Here is a 25735-nt window from a genome sequence, read left to right as displayed (position 1 = left end):
CTCGGGAGGCTGAGGCAGGAGAATCGCTTGAACTTGGGAGGCGGAGGTTGCAGTGAGCCGAAATCACACCACTGCACTCCAACCTGGGTGACAAAGCGAGACTCAGTCTAAATTAAAACAAAAATTAACAAAAAATAAAGAGTCAAGCAAACATTTAGAAAAGGAATCCTAGATTCCAGCTAAGGATGGTGAGGACATGATTTCCAGGCTAACGAGCTGGAAACCACCTACTCACAAATATTCTCTAAAAGACTCCATCAATCTAAAATTCTGGGAAATTCATACTCCTTTTAAAGAGTGTAATGTATAATGCAAAAAATTCTGGTTGTTACCTAGTAAATCACTCCTTAATAGGACTAACTTTAACAGATAATTCATTATTTTCTTAATACCAGCTGAGATAAAGCAGATTCAGGAAAGAGCAGATTTCAAGAAAATTGATAATTTGGGAACTTCAGTCATTTAATCTATTTTAAAACATTAGAGCCAGTAGCAGAGTAGGGGGAAGCTTTGGACAATTGGAGGGTAAAACAAAAAGTTCTGAGGAATGGGTTGCAAAAAGAGGTGGGAGGGCACTAAGGACCAACTGGTTGGTTCTTCATTGTGCCACTGCAAACTAGCTTCTGCCTTTGACCTTGACCTTGATGTCACTTTTACTCATTGCCACAGCATCCTTAGAATGTGGGACAATTCTGCAGCTTCAACTTTCTTGATGGTAAAAAGAAAAAAAAAAACTTCTAGGAAAATTGTATATGCTTTTGTTTATCTATGGTTGCCTTGATTCCTTTTTAGAAGAACACATTAATTAATTTGTCTGAGCAGGCCAAGAACTTTAACACAAAATAGCATCATAGCCCTTCTGTGGAGAGGTAGATGAGAACATGGTTATGAGCTAATAAGCTTGGGCTGTGATTTAAATTCTGGCTCCACTGTTTAGTAGCTCTGTGACTTAAGTAAGGTTATTTAACTTCTCTGTTTCTCCATTCTGCCATCTGAAAAATGGAGCTTAATACTAGAGAACTTACATTAATAGTATTGTTAAGATGATTAATGAGCTTTTAGAGTAGCTCCTAGCGCAATAAGCATTCAGTAAAAATTATCTTTTTCATTATCAACTATTAAATATTAAAATATTTTAATACATTTAAGGAAGCTTTTTTGTCTCTATCATATTTTTTTAAAAACTAATATTTTTTAAATCAGAAGATTGGGCTCATTACCTTAGAGAATCCTGATGCTATTTTAAATAACATTAGTTACTCTTGCTAATGTTTTATCACTTTGATTTGGGGGCTTTTGAGGCCAAAACCAAAATTTCAAAATCAATAAATATGTACTTTGAAATTCTGGAGGAAAAGTGTACCAAAACAATTACCAAAATAGCCAAGATTATTGCCATTTTGAGGTTTTTAGGAGTTTTTGTTTTGTTTTTTGTTTTGTTTTTTGTTTGGCGGGTGGTGAGTGGGTAGAGGTGCCCCAAAGTTAAAAGATTTTCATGACACTTACCCCACATGGGAATTCTGGAAGGAACAGTCAAATCATTGGGGAAAAAATTGCTCATAGGCTGGGGGCGGTGGCTCACAGCTGTAATCCCAAAATTTTGGGAGGCTGAGGTGGGAGGATCGCTTGAGCCCAGGAATTTGAGACTAACCTGTGCAACATAGTGAGACCGTGTCTCTACAAAAAATTTAAAAATTAGCCAGGTGTGGTGGCACATGCCTGTAGTCCCAGTTACTCGGGAGGCTGAGGTGGGAGGATTGCTTAAGCCCAGGAGGTCAAGGCTGCAGTGAGCCGTGATCTTGCCGCTGTACTCCAGCCTGGTGATAGCGAGACCCTGTCTCAAAAAAATGCTTTTAGGGAAATTAATATGTCCTGTGCCTGTTTAATCATTGAAAACATTTTAATATTTTCAGAGCCATAGAGGGCAGTGAAAAACAGAGTAGCAGAATTGATTATACCAGTACTATTTATCCAATGGCTAATACAAATAAGACTCTCAGGGATAATTCACACGTGCTTCCAAGAACACTAGATGGCACCAATTATTTAGGATTCAGACTACCTCAGGGAACAGCTGTCTTCATTCAACAAATATTTATTAAATAATGAACAAAACAAAAATATCTGTCATTGTGGAGCTACAGGTTAGTAGATATGGTGGGGAGAAAGACAATAAAAAATAAACATAGTAAGTAGTATTAGAAGTATAGCATATTGGCCGGGAGCAGTGGCTCATGCCTATAATCCCAGCACTTTGGGAGGCCAAGGCGGGTGGATCACGAGATCAGGAGTTCAAGACCAGCCTTGACAATATGGCGAAACCCCATCTCTACTAAAAATACAAAAATTAGCTGGGCATGGTGGCACGTGACTGTAGTCCCAGCTGCTCGGGAGGCTGAGGCAGGAGAATCGCTTGAACCCGGGAGGCAGAGTTTGCAGTGAGCCGAGATTGTGCCACTGCACTCCAGCCTGGGTGACAGAGCACGACTCCATCTCAAAATAAATAAATAGATATATAAGAAGTATAGCATATTACAGCTACAAGGCTGTAGTGAGCTATGATTGCACCCCTGTACTCCAGCCTGGGCAAACCTTATCTTATATAGTAAAATAAAGAATAGTATGTTAGAATGTCATAAGTGCTATAGAAAATAGAGTAGGGAAGGCCAGGCACAGCAGCTCATGCTTGTAATCCCAGCACTTTGGGAGGCTGAGGTGGGAGGATGGCTTGAGCCCAGGAGTTCAAGACCAGCCTGAGCAACATGACAAGAACCCATCTTAACAAAAAAAAAGTTTTTAATTGGCTGGGTATGGTGGTGTGTACCTATGGTCCTAGCTACTTGGGAGGCTGAGGTGGGAGGATCGCTTGAGCTGGAGAGTTGGAGGCTGCATTGAGCCATGGAGTACAGGCTGCACTCCAGCATGGGTGACAGAGCAAGGCCTTGTCTCAAAAAAAAAAAAAAATTAGGGAAAACAGAGCCGGGGCAGCTGCAATTTTAAACAGGTTCTTCAGAATGGGCTTCATTGAGAAAGTAACACCTGAACAAAAACTTGGAGTGGCTGGAATGAGCCATGGGGATATCTAGGGAGCAAACATTCCAGAAGGAGAGACCATCAGGGCAGAAGCCGTCACCCCTAATGTAAGAGTGGCCTGGCCTGGTTCAAGAATTGCGCAGAGCCCAAGATGACAGGAGAAGAGCAAGCCAGGGGAAAGCCTGAGGTGTAAAGAAAGGGAGAGGAGGCCACGTCAGGCAAAGCCTTGTGCCCACTATGAGGACTTTGGCTCTTACCCTAATTTTGGACAAAAACACCTTTAATAAAGGCAGCAATTTGAAACAAGTGTTGGGGAAACTGGAGAATTGGTGATATACTATATAATAAATTGTGGGTGGCCAGGCATGGTGGCTCATGCCTGTAATCCCAGCACTTTGGGAGGCCAAGGTGGGTGGATCATTTGAGGTCAGGAGTTCAAGACTAGCCTGGCCAATATGATGAAACCCTGTCTCCACTAAAAATACAAAAATTAGATGGGCAGTGGTGGTGCACGCCTGTAATCCCAGCTACTTGGGAGGCTGAAGCAGGAGAATCACTTGAGCCTGGGGGGCAGAGGTTGCGGTGAGCCAAGATCGCACCGCTGCACTCCACCCTGGGCGACAGAGTGAGAATCTGTCTCAGAAAAATAAATAAATAAATAAACAAATGGCAAATTAACTTTGTCTTAAGTAAACTCAATCATTTACAAGATCCTTTGATTTAAAGGGAAAAGACTACATTAGTGATTTAGCTAAATCACATTCACTATAAACAGGACAAAAAGCAATGTGTTAAGACAATGCTTTAAAAAAGTCATAAAAAATGACTTCATGCTCTGCTACAGGGCTACAGTAACCAAAACAGCATGGTATTGGTACAAAAATAGGTACATAGACCAATGGAACAGAGTAGAGAGCGCAGAAATAAGGCTGCACACCTGCAACCATCTGATCTTCAACAAAGCTGACAAAAACGAGCAATAGGGAAAGGACTCCCTGTTTAATAAATGGTGCTGGACTATCTGGCAAGCCATATGTCGAAGATTGAAACTGGACCCTTTTTTACGCCATATACAAAAATCAATTAAAGATGGATTGAAGACTTAAATGTAAAACCCAAAATTACAAAAACCCTGGAAGAAAACCTAGGCAATACCGTTGTGGACATAGGATTAGGCAAAGATTTCATGATGAAAATGCCAAAAGCAATTGCAACAAAAGCAAAAATTGACAAATGGGATCTCATTAAACTTAAGAGCTTCTGCACAGCAAAAGAAAATATCAACAGAGTAAACAGACAACCTACAGAATGGGAGAAAATTTTTGGAAACTATGCATCTGACAAAGGTCTAATATTCAGCATCTATAAGAAACAAACAAATTTACAAGGAAAAGCAACCCCATTAAAAAGTGGGCAAAGGAGGCCAGGTGCGGTGGCTCACGCCTGTAATCCCAGCACTCTGGGAGGCTGAGGTGGGTGGATCATGAGGTCAGGAGATCGAGACCATCCTGGCTGACACGGTGAAACCCCGTCTCTACTAAAAATACAAAAAATTAGCCAGGCGTGGTGGTGGGCACCTGTAGTCCCAGCTACTCGGGAGGCTGAGGCAGGAGAATGGCGTGAATCTGGGAGGCAGAGCTTGCAGTGAGCCAAGACCACGCCACTGCACTCCAGCCTGGGCGACAGAGCAAGACTCCGTCTCAAAAAAAAAAGAAAAAGTGGGCAAAGGACACGAACAGACACTTTTCAGAAGATGTCATACATGTGGCCTATGAGCATATGAAAAATAACCCAATATCATTGATCATTAGAGAACTGCAAATAAAAACCACAATGAGATACCATCTGTAGGGAGCTGTAGGCCATCATCATTAGCAAACTAATGCAGGAACAGAAAACCAAATACCACATATTCTCACTTACAAATCGGAGCTAAATGATGAGCATACAAAGACACAAAGAGGGGAACAACAGTCAGAATAGCTACTATTAAAAAGTAAAAAGATAACAGATGCTGGTGAGATTGCAGAGAAAAGGGAACACTTGTACACTATTGGTGGGAGTGTAAATTAGTTCAGTCATTGAGGAAAGCAGTGTGATAATTCCTCAAAGAGCTAAAAACAGAACTACCATTCAACCCAGCAATCATATTACTGGGTACAAACCCAAAGGAATATAAATCATTCTACCATAAAGGTACATGCATGTGAATGGTCATTGCAGCACTAGTCACAATAGCAAAGACATGGAATCAACCTAAATGTCCATCAATGGTAGACTGGATAAAGAAAATTTGGTACATATACACCACAGAATACTATGCAGCCATAAAAAAGAGTAAGATTGGCTGGGCATGGTGGCTCACGTTTGTAATCCCAGCACTTTGGGAGGCCAAGGCAGGCGGATCACCTGAGGTCAGGAGTTCAAGACCAGCCTGGCCAACATGGCAAAACCCGTCTCAACTAAAAATACAAAAATTAGCCAGGTGTGGTGGCGGGTGCCTGTCATCCCAGCTACTTGGGAGGCTGAGGCAGGACAATCACTTGAACCCGGGAGGCAGAGGTTGCAGTGAGCTGAGGTCACGCTACTGCACTCCAGCCTGAGCAAAAGACTGAGACTCCACCTCAAAAAAAAAAAAAAAAAAAAAAGAATGAGATCATGTCCTTTCCAAACATGGATAGAGCTGTAGGCCATCATCATTAGCAAACTAATGCAGGAACAGAAAACCAAATACCACATGTTCTCACTTAGAAATGGGAGCTAAATGATGAGAATACATAGACACAAAGAGGCAACAACAGACACTGGGGCCTGCTTGAGGGTGGAGGTAAGAAAGAGGAAGAGGATCAGAAAAAAATAACTATTGGGTGCTAGGCTTAGTACCTGGGAGATGAAATGATCTGTACAAGAAACCCCCATGACACAGGTTTAACTATGTAACAAACCTACATGTGTACCCCTGAACCAAAAATGAAAATTAAAAAATAAATACAAATGGGTTTATAGTTTTTCCTCTTCCCTGTCTGAATACTAATGCAGCCTTAAAGCCATTAGGTGCAGCCAGGTAAAGTAGGAGTAGATACAAAGTGGAGAAGCCATGGGGGCCCAGAACAGGGTGTTGGAGTCCAAGCTGTGTGAGGAGGACATCCCCACAGAGGAGTGGCCTGGTGTGAGGTTTCAGAGCCTGTGAAGATGAGGAGGCATCTGTGGAGGGGGTTGTCAGAGCACAAAATTGGTAAAGAGGGTGTTTGGTGGCCGGATGTTGGAACAAAAGTGGGGTGAAGAGGGCACCTGCATGAGAGTGCAGTTTGGAGCCCAAGCGTGATGAGGAGGGCTTTTGTGTGGGGTGGGAGTTTGGTGCAGGATTTCAGAACCCAAGGGGTGAGGGAAGTACCCATAAAGGAGGGAAGCCTGAGGCAGAGTCTCAGAGCCTTATACCTCAGAGCAAGGTGAAAACAGCATTCACGTGGAGCATGGCTAGGTCTGGGGTGTCAGAGCCCAAGTAGGAAGAGAAGGGCTTTTTGGGCTTTGAAGAACCTAGCACTAGCACAGGGGATTGGTCCTCAAGTGAGGTAAGGAAGCCATCTCTGTGAGTAAGAGGTGATGGCAATGAAAGTTTGGTTATATACATGGGACAGATCAAGTAAGTAAATATATTGAAGATAATGGAAGCCAGGTTTCTCACTATCAAAGGGATTACAAATATGGAAAGGGAGAAAATTGGAATGAACCCTCTGGTGCTGGATTGGAATTAAAGTATCCATGTGAACTCACAGATTTCAGTAAATATATGGAAATAAATGTAGATGTAAACGTGTATATGTATCACATGCATGTGTTTCCTAGCTCTTCCACTGAGAGGGCCTGGAAGCAGAGATGCCCCCAATGGCAACGAACACACATACAGCCCAGATTTTGCCCTCTAAACACCATTCTCCACTAAAAAGAAGCTTGGAGGGCTCCTTGGAGGAATGGCTTATCCTAAGTCCCTGGAACAAGAAAAGAACAAGATGTACCTGGGACATCTTGTTGTGCCAGAAAGTGGAAAGTGTTCAAAAATGATGTCAGACTTGAAGGGGACTCCCATTGGCCAAATCTGGGGAAATTTGAACATCATAATAAATAATGAGATTATAACCTATTAAAGTAGGAAACTGTGAGTCCATACTGATATAAATAAATGATATAAATAATTCAAAAATTTGATGAGAAACAATATTTACATAGGGTTAAAGTACCTCCTCCACACAAAATACTATATTATAAAGGGGAAAAGAGTAACTTTACAGTGGAGAAACCTGGCAGACACCATCTTAATCAAAATTAAATATCACCAGTAATGGGACATATCAAAATCATGTGCTACCTGATTGGAAATAATGAGAACACAGCATTACTTCTGTGACATTCCTACCAAAGATGCTCAACCTGAACCTAGTCACGAGGAAACATCAGATATAACTTTATTTTTTATTTTTTGAGACAGAGTCTCACTCTCACCTAGCCTGGAGTGCAGTGGCACAATATAGCTCACTGCAGCCTCGACCTCCTGGGCTCAGGTGATCCTCCCACCTCAGCCTCCTAGGTATCTGGGACTACAGATGCACACCACCAGGCCTGGCTAATTTTTTGTGGCTTTTGTAGAGATGAGGTCTCCCTTACCAGGCTGATCTCTAACTGCTGGGCTCAAGTGATCTGCCTGCCTCAGCCTCCAGCCTCCCAAAGTGCTGGCATTACAGGTGTGAGCCAATGTGCCCAGCCCAGATAACCTTAAATGAAGGACATTCTACAAAGTAGCTGACTGTAATCTTTGAAAAGTGTCGAGGTCATGAAGGTCAAGAAAATACTGAGGATCTGTTGCTGATTGAATGAGACTTAAGAGACACAATTGAAGACAATGTGTGATTCTGAACTGGATTATTTTACTGTGAAGGAAGTTATTTGGGGCAATGAATGAAACTTGATGGGGTTTGATGATTACATGGTAGTGATATAACCAATGTTACTTTATTGATTTTGATGGTTTGATTGTGATTATATAGGAGGAAATCCTTGTTTGCAGGAAAAACACTATTCAGGGTTGATGGGGCATCATGTCAGCAACTACTCAAATGGTTGGAGAGAAAGGTTTTTGTACTGTACTTGCAACTTTTAAGTAAGTTTGAGATTGTTTCAAAATTAAGTCAAAAACATTACAGATTAAAACCAGGTACATAGCTATAATCGTGAATAGACCGTTGAACATGATACATTGCTAAATTGTTTATTTTTGTGTTAACATTTTTCTGTGGTTTTTTTGTTTGTTTGTTTGTTTGTTTTTTGAGATGGAGTCTCACTGTGTCACCCAGGCTGGAGTGCAATGGCACGACCTTGGCTCACTGCAACCTCTGCCTCCCGGGTTCAAGCGATTCTCCTGCCTCAGCCTCCTGAGTAGTTGGGATTATAGGCGCCCGCCACCACACCTGGCTAATTTTTGTATTTTTAATAGAGACAAGGTTTCACCATGTTGGCCAGGCTGGTCGAACTGCTGACCTCAGGTGATCCACCTGCTTCAGCCTCCAGAAGTGCTGGGATTACAGGTGTGAGCCACCGTGCCTGGCCAGCATTTTTCTGTTTTTAAAGAGAGATTATTAAATAGGTGTCTTGGCTATAGAAAAGAAGAAACTTTGGGTCCTGGACAGTGGTAAGACCTCTGGGCACTCAAAGTAAAATATTCCAAAGTTCATCTTTGCTCTTTTCTATCCCTACTTTTATGAGAACCTAGACACCACTGAGAATTCTCGTACCTCCCTAGAAGAATCCATTGGTAACCATGATAGCTGCCTTATTTGATTACAACCTTTTAGAAATATATATATATTTTAAACTATTTCTAATATCTGAGTTGCTAGATTTCTGAACTGTTATTTGCAGTCTTCTAGTACTAAAATGAACTCACTTATTTAGGTTATATGTGTGAGATATATGACAATAATATTTACTATTCTAGATAAAGTTATTCCCTAAAATATTTTTAGATCTTTATCATTTATCACATTCTGTCCATTTTCACTGGAGTTCTACCATCTCATTCTGGGAACTTTGTCTTAATTCTGAAGTAATTCAGTTTGCTAAATACTTGCCCATTTGTGTATATAATTAGAAATACAATTTGTATTGTATTTTGACTGATAAACCCTCCTTCATCTATATTCCCTTCTTAGTTAATGATACCATCATTCATCTGGTCATCTAAGCTAGAAATATTGGAATCACATTAACTTTCTCCTCCTCCCCTCAACAGACAAGCACACACACACCCCTGTCTCTGATGGGCCTTATGTTATGTTGCTTTTCTCTGACCTTTTCTTGAAACATCTCTGCCTCAGCACATCTCTGAAAAGCCCTTATAATAACATTGATAACAGCAATAAGTAAGTAATGGTAAGCAGTTTATGTAATGTCTACTATGTGTCAGGCTCTATTCCAAGAGCTTTGCAGATATTAATATATTGGATCCTTAATTAGGCACTATAATAATTCCCATTTTATTGCAGAAGAAACAGGCTCAAAAAGGCTAAGTTATATGCTCAAAGTCACATAGCTAAGAAGAGCTGGAATTTAGACCCAGATAATCTGACATCAGAGTTCGGTTCTTAACCCTTCCTCGGTCCTATTCAATCTCACTCAAGTAGATTTGGGACATTTTCTGTTCCCATAGTCACTTGTGCCTGTATCTTTATTTTATTATATTGTAATTGTGTATGTACATACTGGTGTTCCTAGAAGACTAAAGAGAATGTTACTATTTATATTTACAAAAGTAGAGAGAATAATGAATCCACATATACCAGTCTCTAATTCAACTCATCAACATTTTGCAATACCTGCCTCAATTATCTCTTTCTTGGTTTTCTGTTTTCCTAAAATATTTGAAAGCAAAACCCAGACATCATGAAATTTCACCTGTAAATACTTCAGTGTCTTTTAAAGGGGCATATTAGGTAACCATAATCACATTATCATACCTAATAAAATCAACATTAATTACTATCCTCTTAATCATGAGTTTCTTGAAGGCAGAAATGATTTCATCTCTATGCTCTGAGTCCTAGTGCACTCCCTGATAATATGTTGGAGTTTAACAAATGTTTGTTATCATTGAAAAGTTTATTTATTTGTTTATTTGAGACGGAGTCTTACTCTGTTGCCCAAGCTGGAGTACAGTGGCACGATCTCGGCTCACTGCAACCTCCGCCTCCTAGGTTCAAGCAATTCTCCTGACTCAGCCTCCCTAGTACCTGGGATTACAGATGCCTGCCACCGCAGCTAAGTTTTGTATTTTTAGTAGAGATAGTGTTTCACCATGTTGGCCAGGATGGTCTTGAACTCCTGACCTCGCGATCCGCCTGCCTCGACCTCCCAAAGTGCTGGGATTACAGGCGTGAGCCACCGCGCCTGGCCAGAAAATTAAAGTTGTTTAAAACCATAACATTTATCCCCCAGGAACAATGTTATAAATAACTATCAGGTTCTTGGGTTAACTGACAACTCCCATTTAATCTACAGCGATTAGATTAAATAGCACTAAAGTTTAGGCCTGAGCCCTTTGGGGCCTTAAATCCAAAACCATTTTATCTTTGAATGTTGAGTCTGAGAAAAACCTGAGTCTAATTTAGCTCAGCCCTGAGTTTTCTTGTTCCCACTGTCAATCCAGGCAGGACATAAGAACAAGGGTTTGACTGGATGAGAGTGTTCACTGGTAAAGATTTCTTAGAAGGAAATATGGCAGCATCCACTAAAAAATAATATGCTTTTCAAAGAAAGTTTTCCATGGATTTCCATGCATTTCCGTGCACCCCTGCATGTGTGCTAACATGTATGTAGAGGATGTTCATTGCCAAAATGGTATAGTAAAAAATTGGAGACAACCTATATGCCTCATTATCTGGGGTATAGATTGATAAAATTATGGTTCATCCACTTGTAGTGCCAAGCAGGTGTTGAAGGGAGAGGCAGAGCTATACATGTTTGTGGTGTGTGTGTGTGTGTGTGTCACACTATGGGAGAGTGGACCACATTACAGAACAGTACACGTTTGACCCCATGTGCATGTGTGCCAGGGTGGGGAACATCACACACCGAGGCCTGTCGGAGGTGAGGGGCTGGAGGAGGGATAGCATTAGGAGAAATACCTAATGTAAATGATGAGTTGATGGGTGCAGCAAACCAACATGGCACATGTATACCTATGTAACAAACTTGCACGTTGTGTACATGTACTCTAGAACTTACAGTATAATAAAAAAAAATATGTGCATATGTGCATCCTCCTATTTAAGTCAAAGTATTTTGAAAGACAGGCAGGAGAAACGCTACATTGTTAGTGGTGATAGCCAGTAAGCTGGGGAGGTAAGATGGGGTAAAAGTAAAGGAGACTATCATATTTTTCTCCATGTACTGTTGTATAGAATGAATCTTTTTTAAAATTTACGTTTTTTCTCTTTGCTACTTGGATCAGCATAGAATGAATCTTTTTTTTTTTTTTTTTGAGACAGAGTCTTGCTCTGTCCCCAGGCTGGAGTGCAGTGGTGTGATCTTGGCCCACTACAACCTCTACCTACCTGGTTCAAGGGATTCTCCTGCCTCAGCCTCCCAAGTAGTTGGGACTACAGGCACGTGCCACCACACCCAGCTAATTTTTGTATTTTTAGTAGAGACGGGGTTTCACCACGTTGGCCAGGATGGTCTCGATCTCTTGACCTCGTGATCCACCCACCTCAGCCTCCCAAAGTGCTGGGATTATAGGTGTGAGCCACCACGCCCAGCCTATAGAATGAATCTTTTAAAAATAAAAATGCATTTGTCTTTTGGTTGACTTCATATCAAATTTTTTAAATCAAGGGCTTGATATATACAAGACATTATACTGTAAACAATTTTAACTGGTTTGAAAATGAAAAATATAATACTTTACTCTTTTGAGATTTGAGAAGAGCAAAGGCTGAAATACTTTTTAATTGTTATAAACCAAATGTACTCAATAAACTTACTTAACATTTCCTATGTGACAGGCACTGTGCTGGGTGCAGGGGAGATCGAAGACTGTATGAAACAGATCTTGCTCTCCTGAACCTTGTAATCACTGGGAAAGCTCCTGTGTGTCTCTAGTAACAATGGCAGACAAGGGCCATAGAAACCACAGAGTGCCACAAATATGAATTGTTCAACATGACTCGAGATTTTTAGATTTTAAACTTGGATTTTTTTTTTTTTGAGATGGCGTCTCACTCTGTCGTCCAAGCTGGAGTGCAGTGGCGCGATCTCACCTCACTGCAACGTCTACCTCCTGGGTTCAAGCAGTTCTCCTACCTCATCCTCCCCAGTAGCTAGGATTATAGGTGCTTGCCACTACGTCCGGCTAATTTTTGTATTTTTAGTAGGGACGGGGTTTCACCATGTTGGCCAGGCTGGTCTTGAACTCCTGACATCTTGTGATCCACCTGCCTTGGCCTCCCAAAGTGCTGGGATTACAGGCGTGAGCCACCATGCCTGGCTTTTTTTTTTTTTTTTTTTTTTTTGACAAGGTCTCTCTCTGTCACCCAGAATGGAGTGTAGTGGCATGATCACAGTTCATTGCAGCCTCAACCTCCTACGCTCAAGTGATCCTCCCACCTGAGCCTCCTGAGTAGCTGGGATCACAGGCGCATGCTACCACGCCCGGCTGAAGGTTTTTCAATTTTTGAAGAGACGAGGTCCCACTGTGTTGCCCAGGTAAGTCTTGAACTCCTGGGTTTAAGCAATTCTCCCACCTTGGCTTCCCAAAGTGCTTGGATTATAGGCATGAGCTATGGCACCTGGCCTAGACTCAGATTTTTTTTTTTTTTTTTTGAGATGGAGTTTCACTCTGTTGCCCAGGCTGGAGTGCAATGGCACGATCTTGGCTCACCACAACCTCCACCTCCCGGGTTCAAGCGATTCGCCTGCCTCAGCCTCCCTAGTAGCTGGGATTACAGGCATGTGCCACCATGCCCGGCTAATTTTGTATTTTTAGTAGAGTTGGGGTTTCTCCATATTGGTCAGGCTGGTCTCAAACTCCCGACCTCAGGCAATCCGCCCGCCTCGGCCTCCCAAAGTGCTGAGATTATAGGCATGAGCCACTGCGCCCAGCCTAAACTCAGATTTTTAAATGAATGCCCTATCTCAATTTTTATTAAATTTTAGTTACAGAATGCCATAGTGTCTTCTCTTCTGTAGATTGCCCTGGAGTGATACACATGTAGTTCAGAGAAAACTGGGATTACTTTACACATTAAAAAACAATAGTTAAACCCTGTTCAAGTAAACTTAAACAATAAACAATACTAGTACAGTATTTAAGTTGCATGTCAGGTTTCAAATGTCACATCTTGCTAGTCCCATCTGTCCATCCATCCATTTAATTCACTTATTCAACAAATTTTATTGAATGTCTACTTGGGCATTGTTCTAGGAAACACTGAAGGCATTGCAGTAAAAAATAAACTTATATTTAAGAAAACACATTTTAACATTAAAAATACTGAAAGTGTGAAATCAGTGCAATTCCTATGCAAAAGTAAGGAAGGGGCAAGGTTCACTGGAGCTTTGCTTATTCCATTTCTTATTACGCTCACAGCATAATAATTGTATGGCTGGTTTACAGAAATCTCTGCCAAAACACCTCAGACCTAGTACGTTTTTCCTGATGTTAATGATTTGGATATTAATTGAAATACACAATTTAAAGATAAATATTTATCAAAACATGAATAGATTTACATGTTCCTAAAACAAGAAAAAACATAAACCTCTCAGTTTTTACTTCATCTTGTATGTATAGATATTTGAAATATAGACTGTCCAATTTTATTCCTAAAATCTCTTCTCTCTAATGTCAATATGTCAGACTTTTCTTTCTCATATCAAAGTAATTGTTGAAAGATATTGATATCATATGCAAAGTTTTCACAGTTTTTTTCTTAATTGATTAGTACACTTTGGTATTTATACCATGAGATCATTGGTGAAGATGTTACAATGGCCATTAATAGGTGAAGTCAATAAAACAGGATTTGGAGACAGAAAATACAAGTCAAGGCTCTGCCACTTCCTAGTTAGTGACTTCTGGTATTACAACTGTACTCTCAATTTCTGTTTTCTCAGCTACCAAATGATAAAAGATTCGTGAGAAGATTAAACACAAATATGCTAAAATGCTGGAGAAGCAATAAAGCTCTGTAGATATTTTGTGTTTGTATTCATTATAACATTGTGCTAAATAAACAGCATTTATTAGAAACCAGCAGAAGATACTATTTTAATGGTGAAATACTGTTCTTATGTCAGAACAAAACAAAGGTGTTTGTTTTTTGTTTTTATCATCACTATTTTCTTTTCTTTTTTTTTTTTTTTTTTTGAGATGGAGCTTTACTCTTGAGATGAAGTCTCACTGAGATGGAGTCTCGCTCTGTTTCCCAGGTTGGAGTGCAATGGTGTGATCTCAGCTCACTGCAACCTCCACCTCCGGAGTTCAAGCAATTCTGCTGCCTCAGCCTCCCAAGTAGATGGTACTACAAGCCCCACCACACCCAGCTAATTTTTTGTATTTTTAGTAGTGACGGGGTTTCACCATATTGGCCAGGCTGGTCTCGAACTTCAGATGATCCACCCCGCCTCCACATCCCACAGTGCTGGGATTACAGGCATGAGCCACTGCGCCCGGCCTATCATCACTATTTTCAGTATTGTTCTATACTTCTAGACCAGCACTATCCAGTAAAACTTCTTGCAGTTATGGAAATGTTCTCTGTCTGTGTTATTCTGTTTGGAGCCGCTAGCCATGTGTGTCTGTCCAAGTTTAAATTAAATTAAACTTAATTACATTTAAAATTCAGTTCCTCAGTTGCACTAGCAACATTTCAAGTGCTCATTAGCCACATGTAGCTAGTGGCTACCATATTGGATAGCTCAGATGAAGAACATTTTCATCATCCCAGAAAACTCAATTGGTTTAGAAGTTCTAATCATCCAGAATTACACAATAATGTTGAATAAGAGTGATAATGAAAGCATCACATATTTATCCATCCATCCATTTTATGTTTTATGCATTTTTTTTCTTTTTTTTTTAGATACAGTCTCACTCTGTCACCCAGGCTGGAGTGCAGTGGCATGATATCAGCTCACTGCAACTTCGCCTCCCCAGTTCAAGCTATTCTCATGCCTTAGCCTCCCAAGTAGCTGGGATTACAGGCATGTGCCACCATGCCCGGCTAATTTTTGTATTTTTAGTAGAGACTGGGCTTCACCGTGTTGGCCAGGCTGGTCTCGAACTCCTGACCTCAAGTGATCCGCCCGCCTCGGCCTCCCAAAGTGCTGAGATTACAGGCGTGAGCCACCGTGCCTGGCCTACAACTTACTTTAAAATGCATAAAACAAGTCCGGGCACCGTGGCTCACGCCTGTAATCTCAGCACTTTGGGAGGCCAAGGTGGGTGGATCACTTGAGGTCAGGAGTTCGAGACCAGCCTGGCCTATACGGTGAAACCTCATCTCTACTAAAAAAAATACAAAAATTATCCGGGTATGGTAGCACACGCCTGTAATCCCTGCTGCTAGGGAGGCTGAGGCAGGAGAATCGCTTGAACCCGGGAGGCAGAGGCTGCAGTGAGTTGAGATCGCACCACTACAGCCTGGGAAACAGAGCGAGACTCCATCTCAATCAATCAATCAATCAATCAAGTTGTAGACGTCAATATACTTCCCTCTTAAACTCTTTAGCATACATAACATTGACAAGTTAAGTACTTGTTTATGCTTTTATAGATAAAATTTTGCATATAGTGAACAAATTTTAGAGTACCAATCAATGAGTACTGACAAATGCATACAGCTGTGTAATCCAAATCTATCAAAATATAGAACATTCCCATCACCCCAAAAAGTTTCCTCATTTTTCTTCCCATTTAGTCCCTGCCATCACCCCCACCTTCTGAAGAAAGTGAAGAAACAAACAAAACAATCACTTTAATAGAAAAATGGGCTGAGGGAATACACTATTATTTCACAAAAGAAGAAATACACATTGACTAGTAAACCTGTAAAGAAATTAATGCCCAACCTTACTTGAAGAAATGTGAAACAGATTATTTTATGCGTCAGATTGGCAATAATTTAAAATGTTTATAACAGTGAGTATTGGCCAGGGTGTGGGAAAGGGCGCTCTCATGACGACCCAAAATGCTCTTTAACTTATCCAGAGTATATTTCAATAATTATATGCATTTTTTATTTTATGAATTCCATTTAGTTCTTTTTAAAATCTTCCCAGTCATTTCTGATAATTTCTTCTTGCTTGTCCCTATTGATGATTCTAACTTTTAGTTCTTTAAACTTTCACTTGTTAGAAATTTTATAATCTGTTGTTGTTAACTCCCATATCTGAATTTCTTCTAGATCTGTATCAGTTATGGTATAGACTTGACTGCTATAACTTACAGACCCCAAACAACAAGACAGACATTTATTCTTTGTCCAAGTAGGTAGTCCAGTACTGATATGGAAAGTCCAATCCACAATCCACAGGGCTCCAAGTCCTCTTCTCATTACACTGCTATTCTCAACATTTTGTCAGCTCCCACCATCTTGTCCACAATCCAGACAGTAGAAAAGAGAAAATGGGAACACAGAGGGGTCACCCCCACCTTTTAATAGCTGGGCCTGAAAGTTAGACATGTTGTTTCTACTCACATCTCAGAGGTAAGAAGTCACATGATCACACCTATATGCAAGGCAGTCTGGGAAATGTCATTGTTAACCTTTACCTAAAAACTATATTGTGGCCCAGTATAGTGGCTCATGCCTGTAATCCTAGCACTTTGGGAGGCCGAGGTGCGTTGGATCACTTGAGGTCAGGAGTTCAAGACCAGCCTGGCCAACATGGTGAAACCACATCTCTACTAAAAATACAAAAAATTAGCCCGGCATGGTGGCACGCACCTGTAATCCCAGTTACTCAGGAGGTTGAGGCAAGAGAATTGCTTGAACCCAGGAGGTGCAGGTTGCAGTGAGCCAAGATCGTGCCACTGCACTCCAGCCTGGGCGACAGACTGAAACTCAAAAAAAAAAAATTATACTGCTACTGAGGAAGGATAGAATGGATATTGGTGGACAACTAGCAGTCTCTGGAACAAGCTATAAATCTCGTTTCTGCTGGCTTTCCCTCATGAGGTGGCTGGCCTCAGATGCTTGATGATCTTTGATTATGAGCTTATGTTTGCTTGCTGTTAATCTGTGGAAATCTTGTGAACCTAAATTAGGGATGCTTTCCTCCAGAGAGGGTTTAGTTTGCCTTTTCTAGGAACCAAGAGGAGTCTTCAGCCCCACCTACTGCTAGTCTGAGGATTAATATCTTGGTTTTTGATGCTAAAGTTATTTGCCCTTGGAGGCGACCCCATGTTTACCATTTGGTTACTGATCACTGCTCGCAGTTCTGATTTCAGTGCTTGGTTACTGGTTTTGGTTTTTGTTTTGTCTGATGAACAAACACATTTTCTCTTACTTGTTGAGATCTCAGCAATGCATTTAAAGGTATGTTTTATCTATAATCAAGCTGTTTTGTAATAGAAGGGTGTTACAAGGAATATGACCCAGCATATTGCCAGACCAAAAATGTCCCATTCACTCTTCAGTTTACTTTCAAGTCTGGCTTTTTCTCTACTTTTTAGGCTTGCCAAAGCTGCCAATAATACCTCTTTGTTAACAAACCTAGTGGATATATTTCTGTCTTCATGTTACTCAACTTCTCAGCGGCATTAACACAGTTGACCATCATTTATTCTTTCACCTAGTATGAGCTAAGCACTGTTTTGTTTTGTTTTGTTTTGTTTTTGTTTTTTTGAGAAGTTGTTTCGCTCTGTCACCCAGGCTGGAGTGCAATGGCGTGATCTCGGCTCACTGCCACCTCTGCCTCCTGGATTCAAGTGATTCTCCTGCCTCAGCTGCCCCAGTAGCTGGGATTACAGGCACGTGCCACCACACCCAGCTAATTTTCCTATTTTTAATAGAAACACTGTTTCACCATGTTGGCCAGGCTGGTCTCAAACTCCTGACCTCAAGTGACCCGCCCACCTCGGCCTCCCAAAGTGCTGGGATTACAAGTGTGAGCCACTGCGCCTAGCCCAAGCACTGTTTTGAATGCTAGGGAGTGAACAGGACACAAAAAAATCCTATAGAGAGGAAACAGACAATAAACATAATAAACCTATATTTTGTAATATGGCCAAAGGTGGTTAAGTGCTGTGGAATAGAAATGGGAACAGGGCAAGGGATGTCAGGAGTGCTGGAAGAGAGGTTGCAGGTTAAAAGGGGAGAAAGGTAGGCCTCATTGAGAAGATGATATTTGAGCAAATACTTGAAAGAGATAAATGGGTAAGCTGTGGGGATTCACAGGGGAGGAACATTACAGATGGTGACAACAGCCAGTGTAAATGCCTTGAGGGAAGACTGTGCCAGATATTTTCAGGAAGAGTCCAGTGTGGCTGGAACACAGTGAACATGGGAGGGAGGAGTAGGAGGTGAGATCAAGTAAATAAGGAAGGCTGGCAGGTCATGTAGGGTCCTGCAGGCCATTGTAAAGACTTTGACTTTTCTTGAGATGGGGAGTTGTGTTTGTGTTTGTTTGTTTGAGACAGGGTCTTGCTCTGTGTCCTAGGCTGAAGTGCAGTTGTATAGTTCACAGCAGCCTTGACCTCATGGGCTCAAGCGATCCTCCCACCTCAGCCTCCCAAATAGCTGGGACTATGGGTGCAGGCAACCATGCCTGGCTAATTTTTTAATTGTTTTGTAGAGTTGGGGTCTCACTGTGTTAGCCAGGCTGATTTTGAACTCCTGGCACCAAGTGATCCTCTGCCCTCAGCCTCCCAAAATGCTGGGATTATAGGCATGAGCCACCATGCCCAGCCAGGAGCCATTTTTTGAGCACAGTTGTGACATGAACTGACTTATGTTTTTAAATGATCCCTCTGGCTGCTGTGTTCATAGAAAGCCATGGTGGGTCCAGGGTGGAAGCAGGGACCACTAGAGATGCTATTGTAACCATTCTTTTCCTTGACCCTTTTCCCTCTCTTGACTGTATTCTTGTATCTCCAGATTTTTCTCCTGTCTTGCTAGCTGCTCCTTTTCCAGTACCACTTCTGTCCCTATCTCCAAATGTTGGAGAACCTTAGACTCAGTCCTGAGACCCTTCTTGTATCTAGCACCATTCACTGAGTAATTTTTTTTTTTTTTTTTGAGACAAGGTTTCACTCATATATCCAGGCTGAAGTGCAGTGGCATGAATACAGCTCACTATAGCCTCTACCTCCTGGGCTCAAGGGATCCTCCTACCTCAGCCTCCCAAAGTTCTGGGATTACAGGCATGAGCCACTGTGCCCAGCCACTGGATGATCTTATGCAAACCTATAGCTTCTAAAACCATCTCTTTGCTGGTGATGCATAAACTTAGCACTCTAGCACTGAGCTTATAGCAACTTGCTATCCAAACTGGAGGTGTTCATTACTCCCCAAACCTTTCCTTCCCTAGCCCAGGCTTTCACATCCCAGTAAATGGCATTGTATTTGCTCAAGCCAAAAAACCTAGTCATCTTTAATGCCTTCCTTTCCCTCACCTCCCTATCCAATCCATCAGCAAGATATGTTCTTTAACCTCTGAATCAAATAGGTATTTCCTCTAAAATGCTATGTATATAATAACCTCAAAAACTTCAATGGAGCCAGTGTAATGGCTGGCACCTGTTGTCAACAGCTACTCTGGAGGCTGAAGCAGAAAGATTGCTTGAGCTCCAGAGTTCAAGATCAGCCTGGACAACATAGTGAGATCCTATCTCTAAAAAAACATAAAATAAAATAAAAAGAAAAGAAAAAACTTCAGTGGCTTAAACAATGAATATGTTTCTCACAAAACTGCAGGTCAGTTGGTATTTGGCTGAGATTGGCTGGACTTGGCTGACTTGGCTGCAGGCTGCAAGATGGATTAGGATCTGATCCATGTGTGTTCATTCTGGGGCTCAGGCTGTAGGGCAGCAGCTATCTCAGGGATGATCTCACAGTGAAGTCAAAAGCACAAGAGGGGGCTGGGCACCTGTAATTCCAGCACTTTGGGAGGACGAGTCAGGCAGATCACTTGAGGTCAGGAGTTTGAGACCAGCCTGACCAACATGGTGAAACCCCGTCTCTACTGAAAATACAAATTACACGCCTGAATCCCAGCACTTTGGGAGGCTGAGGCAGGCAGACCACTTGAGGTCAGGAGTTCAAGACCAGCCTGACCAACATGGTGAAAACCCATCTCTACTAAAAATACAAAAATTAGCCAGGTGTGATGACATGTACCTGTAGTCCCAGCTACTCGGGAGGCTGAAGCAGGAGAATCACTTGAACCTGGGTGGTAGAGGTTGCAGTGAGCAGAGGTTGCGCCACTGCACTCCAGCTTGGGTGACAGAGTGAGACTCTGTCTCAAAAAAAAACAAAAACAAAACCCCTAAATGGGCACACTGAGCTTCTGCTCACATCACTTCCCACAAACAAGCCCAAAATCAGGAGGTAGGAGGTATACTGTATTCACCATGAAACCACAGCAAGGGGATGGTTGTATAAGATATTATGGGGATTGGAGAATTGGGACCAAGTATTCAATTATTCTATCTCCCATAACCTTCTAAAGAATTGCACTTCTCTCCAAATCTACCCTCTCTCCTCACGCTTTTTTCAAAGGATCATCATCTTTTGCCGCTAAACAATTGTCTTTGTTTTCACCACTGTATCCCTCACACCTAGAACAATGCCTAGCAAGTAGTATATGCTTAGCAAATTATGTGTTGAATAAATAACTCCCCAACTGATCTCCCTGGTTGCACTCACTTCTCTCTAATCCCTTTCCACAGAGCAGCCAGAGTAAGGTTTAAAAACAAATTCTATCATTTTGGTCCCAGCTTAAAACCCTACCCTGGCTTCTCTTTGCACTGGAACTCCTTACCATGTCCTTTATAAAGGCCATCCATTATCCAGCCTAGCCTGGCTCTCCAAATGCACCTGGTACCACTGACTTCACTCCAACTACTGCCTTCTTCCTCCTCAAACATTCCAAGTGATTTTCAACTGCAAGACCTTTGTACTTGCCATTGTCTCTGAGTGCAGTGCTTTTTCTCAGGCTCTTGGCATGCTAGCTCAGCTTCAGTGAAAATGTCACTTCCTTAGGCCCTCCTCCACCATCGACCATCGACCTCTGTATTTTAAGTCACCCTCTGCCATTATATTGCATCTCCATCACCTTGTTCACTCCTTTCAATGTATTTATCATGCCATGAAATTAGCATGTTTTGTTCGTCACTGATCTCTAGCACCTATAATAATGTCTGGCACATATTAAGTGCCCTGTAAAAGTCTGTTGAGGCCAAGCATGGTGGTGGCTCACACCTGTAATCCCACCACTTTAGGAGGCCGAGGCAGGTGGATCACTTGAGGTCAAGAGTTTGAGACCAGCCTGGCCAACATGGTGAAACCCCCATCTCTACTAAAAATACAAAAATTAGCCAGGCTTGGTGGTGCACACGTGTAATCCCAGCTACTCAGGAGGCTAAGGCAGGAGAACTGCTTGAACCCAGGAGGTGGAGGTTGCAGTGAGCCGAGATCACGCCACCGCACTCCAGCCTGGGTAACAGTGAGATTCCGTCTCAAACAAACCAGCAAACAAACAAACAAAAATCTGTTGAGTGAGTATATGAGAAAATGCTTCCCTCACATTTTTAGATAATTTTTCCTGCCTTTTATTTTCAACTACTCATCCATATATAAAATGATATGTGTAAATCCAGCCGGGCGTGGTGGCTGAAGCCTGTAATCCCAGCACTTTGGGAGGCCGAAGCGGGCGGATCACGAGGTCAGGATATCGAGACCATCCTGGCTAACACGGTGAAACTTCGTCTCTACTAAAAATACAAAAAAATTAGCCAGGCGTGGTGGCGGGCGCCTGTAGTCCCAGCTACTCAGGAGGCTGAGGCAGGAGAATGGCGTGAACCCGGGAGGCGGAGCTTGCCGTGAGCCGAGATCACACCACTGCACTCCAGCCTGGGCGACAGAGCAAGACTCTGTCTCAAAAAAATAGATAGATAGATAGATAGATAGATAGATAGATAGATAGATAGATAGATAGATATAGATAGATAGATATAGATATGTAAATCCAAGGAAAATCAATTTAAGCTGAATAAAAATATTGGAACATCTTTGTTAATAAAGAAGAAGTTGAAAACTGGAGTTGCTCTGGCATGCGCTGTGGCATCCTTCTGCCTTGTGCCTCTTAGGCACTCATCTGCGGGGCTCAGGGGCTCAGTGAGGCCTACACTGACATCTACCCCTCCACTTCCTGCACTAATTCATCTTACCTGGCTCACCTGTTTCCTTTTCTCATTCTTACCCTGGCTAACATACTAGATAATTTACCTATAATTATTATTTGTTTCCTGCCCCCCACCCTGCACCACTGTGAGCTCTATGAAGGCAAGGATAGTATTTTGTTTTTTTCTGGTTCTGAGAAGGTGCTCAACCAATTGTGGAAGGAAATAATGAATGTCTCAAAGGAGAGAAAGAAAGCTGAAAAGGTCCTGTATTCTCTCGCTTCCTCCTAGTCGTCCCAGATTAAGATACCCCCCACCTTTGCACAATCTACATCTCAGCACTATATACAAAATCTCCATGAGGTATAAATGTTCACCGGTTTATTCATCCGCAGAATGGTTTTACACGTACATTTATAAATCCATATGCCTGTTGATGTTTTGCATGTGAGATCCTTTATTTACCCGAGAGCTTTCATCAGGAGGAATTTAGCTCAATATTTGTGAGATCATAATAGGATAAAAGCTGATGAAGATGAGCTCCATCCTATAGAGGCTATTTCCTCTATGAGTGGAGACTGTTTTTCCCTTCCCTGAAGGAAAGAACAGCAGTTGTTTAAATAATGAATAAAGCTAAGCACTTAAATTTATCTTCAGGAAGGTACTGGAAGAAGAGGAGGAGCAGAGTATAAAAACTACAAGTATACCTTTGCGGGGGGAACAGCCAGTTCAAAATCTTCCCAATCAGCAGTTATACTTTAATTTTAATTTCAAGTTTTCTTAGGATTATGAAATTAAAACATTCTGTTCTTGGTTATTTTCATAAGCCTTACCATCTTGAAAGACTCCATCCTCTGCCCATCCCTCAAAAGATCAACAGACGGAAATTTTTCTTTAGAAAGCAAACTATGTTCTTTTCTTTGAAATAACTGTGATAGAGAAATTATTCACTTTAAGTAGTCATGCTTCTAAGTTGCTTGAAGGTGATTACATATGAACCTTCATATAAACATGTATCTCTCTCATTTAAAAGAAAAGAGGAAGGAAAGGAATTAGCCCATTAATTATTTAAAATACTTGGTGCAACTGTTCCTATGAATTAATCCAGGCACTTGGAAGACAATTACACTCCATGTTAATAACATTGCCAACCTTTTCCACTATGCTGCACTCCAAATACTATTGTGTTTTCATTGACAACATTCCCTATTACATATGCATATGAAAAACAGGCATTTTCATCAGAATTACTGTAATAGCATTAAGAGATTATTATTTTTTCCCATTTCCTTGGAAGAAAATTTACTTAAATTAGATTATTTATTACTCGACTGCTCTCGTATCTTGCCTGTATGTTTAGGTAACTGGAGCCCATGAAAGTATAAACTTCAGAATAAAAAGCTTGATTTTATACATTAATGATTTCAAATAAAAGATAAGTGCCACATTTGTGCATCACTTCTTTAGAGAAAGTTAAGTCTGTGTTCTGCTTAGGAGAGATAACACTTTTTGTCCCTGTAGGTGGCCCCCCTGGTGTAGCCATTAGTTGCTAATTACTTGCAAACAAATAAACAATTAACTCCTTAAGCTGCTGGCTGGGCAAGTGTTCATTGACATGCTAAAACTTTCTAAGACAGGATTTTAATTAGTGACGTTCTAAATCCAGCCCCCTTGTCAGCGGAGCTATAAGGTGAACTGCAGGAAGATCCCAGCCCTATACACGTGGGGCAGAGCCAGCAGAGGCCAGAGCTGTTGCTCTGTGCAGACCACGAGAGGATGTCTCCCAGCCTTCAGGAAGGCGCTCAGCTCGGGGAAAACAAACCCTCAACTTGCTCCTTTTCAATTGAGAGAATCTTAGGACTGGACCAGAAGAAAGACTGTGTTCCATTAATGAAACCCCACAGGCCCTGGGCAGACACCTGCAGCTCATCAGGTATGCCACAGCTTAATTGTTTCAATTCTTTGTTATTTCATTTACAGTGTTTAATTTGCCCTTTATTTCATACTACATAGAGCTAGAGTTTAGGACTTTAATTTAATTTATTATTATTATTTATTATTTTTTTTTTTTTTCTGAGACAGAGTGTTGGTCTTGTTGCCAAGACTGGAGTGCAATGGCATAATCTTGGCTCACTGCAGCCTCCGCCTCCTGGGTTCAAACGATTCTCCTGCCTCAGCCTGCCAAGTAGCTGGGATTACAGGCATGCACCACCATGGCCTGCTAATTTTTGTATTTTTTAGTAGAGGGGGGTTTCACCCTGTTGGTCAGGCTAGTCTCGAACTCCTGACCTCAGGTGATCCGCCTGCCTCAGCCTCCCAAAGTGTTAGGATTACAGGCATGACCCACCACGCCCAGCCAGAGTCTAGGACTTTTAATGCCTCCAACTGAGTCCTATGGGAAATTAAAAGAATATCAGCTTTGGATTGAGCAAAGTGGATAAATTCACTCACAGGAAATCCCAAGAACCTGCATTTACTTCAGAAGATCTCTCCCTGTTTGACACATCAGATATTTGAAATCTCTTTTCACTGAAAAATAAACGACATTCAGAGACCAAAGAGGCAGGATTACCAAGACAGGATCTTCATTTTTTATTGGTTTTTGGTTAACGGGGTGCAATTCTCTTGTGAACCCCAGAATTCCACTAGGAAATGAAAGATGAGTTCCTGAAACTACCTCTATAGAACTTTGTGGAACATAAGATTGACCATCTAAGACAGGGCTTATTTTTTTGTTTTTAGGGAAAGATGGTAACTTATGTCTACATGTCCCAAATCCTCCCAGTGGGATTTCATTCCCTAGCGTGGTGGATCACCCAATGCCAGAAGAAAGAGCTTCGAAATATGAAAATTACTTTTCAGCCTCAGAAAGACTGTCTTTGAAAAGAGAGTTGAGTTGGTATAGAGGCCGAAGACCAAGAACTGCTTTTACTCAAAACCAGGTGGGAAGTTTTTTCACCCAATAATGATAATATAAAGGCTTTAATTGACACCAAGTTGAGCAAAAGCCCACTCACTTTGGTATCTCAGTTTAGAAGCCTTATTAATGAAACAGTAGACTACCATATTTTAACAATTTCCAGGTAATCATTTTTAAAAAGGCATCCAGATTAATTGCCAAGATTTAAATGTAGTCATTTTACTCTAGAAATTAAAGCTCATTTTTGGAGACATACTGAATATCAACATTTTTTTTTCTTAGATTGAAGTGTTAGAAAATGTCTTTAGAGTAAACTGCTATCCTGGTATCGATATTAGAGAAGACTTAGCTCAAAAATTGAATCTAGAGGAAGACAGAATCCAGGTAAT

The 25735-nt window shown here is 41.4% G+C and overlaps 1 protein-coding gene across 9 annotated transcripts in view, besides 1 other annotated feature; it reads left to right on the top strand.

Moving 5' to 3' along the window:
* The window catches only part of HESX1 (HESX homeobox 1), a 29778-nt gene that overhangs the window by 3495 nt on the left and 548 nt on the right, over positions 1 to 25735 (top strand). For 4 of the 9 annotated variants that reach the window (NM_001376059.1, NM_001376060.1, NM_001376061.1 and 1 more), the window contains 3 exons: positions 24093 to 24359; positions 25169 to 25368; positions 25629 to 25730. In NM_001376059.1, coding sequence (NP_001362988.1) covers positions 24203 to 24359; positions 25169 to 25368; positions 25629 to 25730 — 459 coding nt within the window. In that variant the 5' untranslated portion in view covers positions 24093 to 24202. Of the gene's footprint in view, positions 1 to 12618; positions 12787 to 24092; positions 24360 to 25168; positions 25369 to 25628; positions 25731 to 25735 lie in introns of those variants that run through there. The other 5 variants (NM_001376058.1, XM_047449143.1, XM_047449142.1 and 2 more) reach the window with 3 other exon arrangements.
* Positions 23853 to 24450: an enhancer, noted in NCBI's record as "OCT4-NANOG hESC enhancer chr3:57233699-57234296 (GRCh37/hg19 assembly coordinates)". NCBI's record gives its function as "activates a minimal SCP1, AML or CMV promoter by ChIP-STARR-seq in naive and primed H9 embryonic stem cells {active_cell/tissue: H9 hESC(naive and primed)}" and the evidence as "EXISTENCE:reporter gene assay evidence [ECO:0000049][PMID:30033119]".

This window comes from Homo sapiens, chromosome 3, assembly GCF_000001405.40.
Source record: "Homo sapiens chromosome 3, GRCh38.p14 Primary Assembly".
Lineage (NCBI taxonomy): Eukaryota > Metazoa > Chordata > Mammalia > Primates > Hominidae > Homo > Homo sapiens.
Note: the sequence above shows the minus strand (reverse complement) of the source record. Positions and strands in the feature narration are given on the sequence as shown.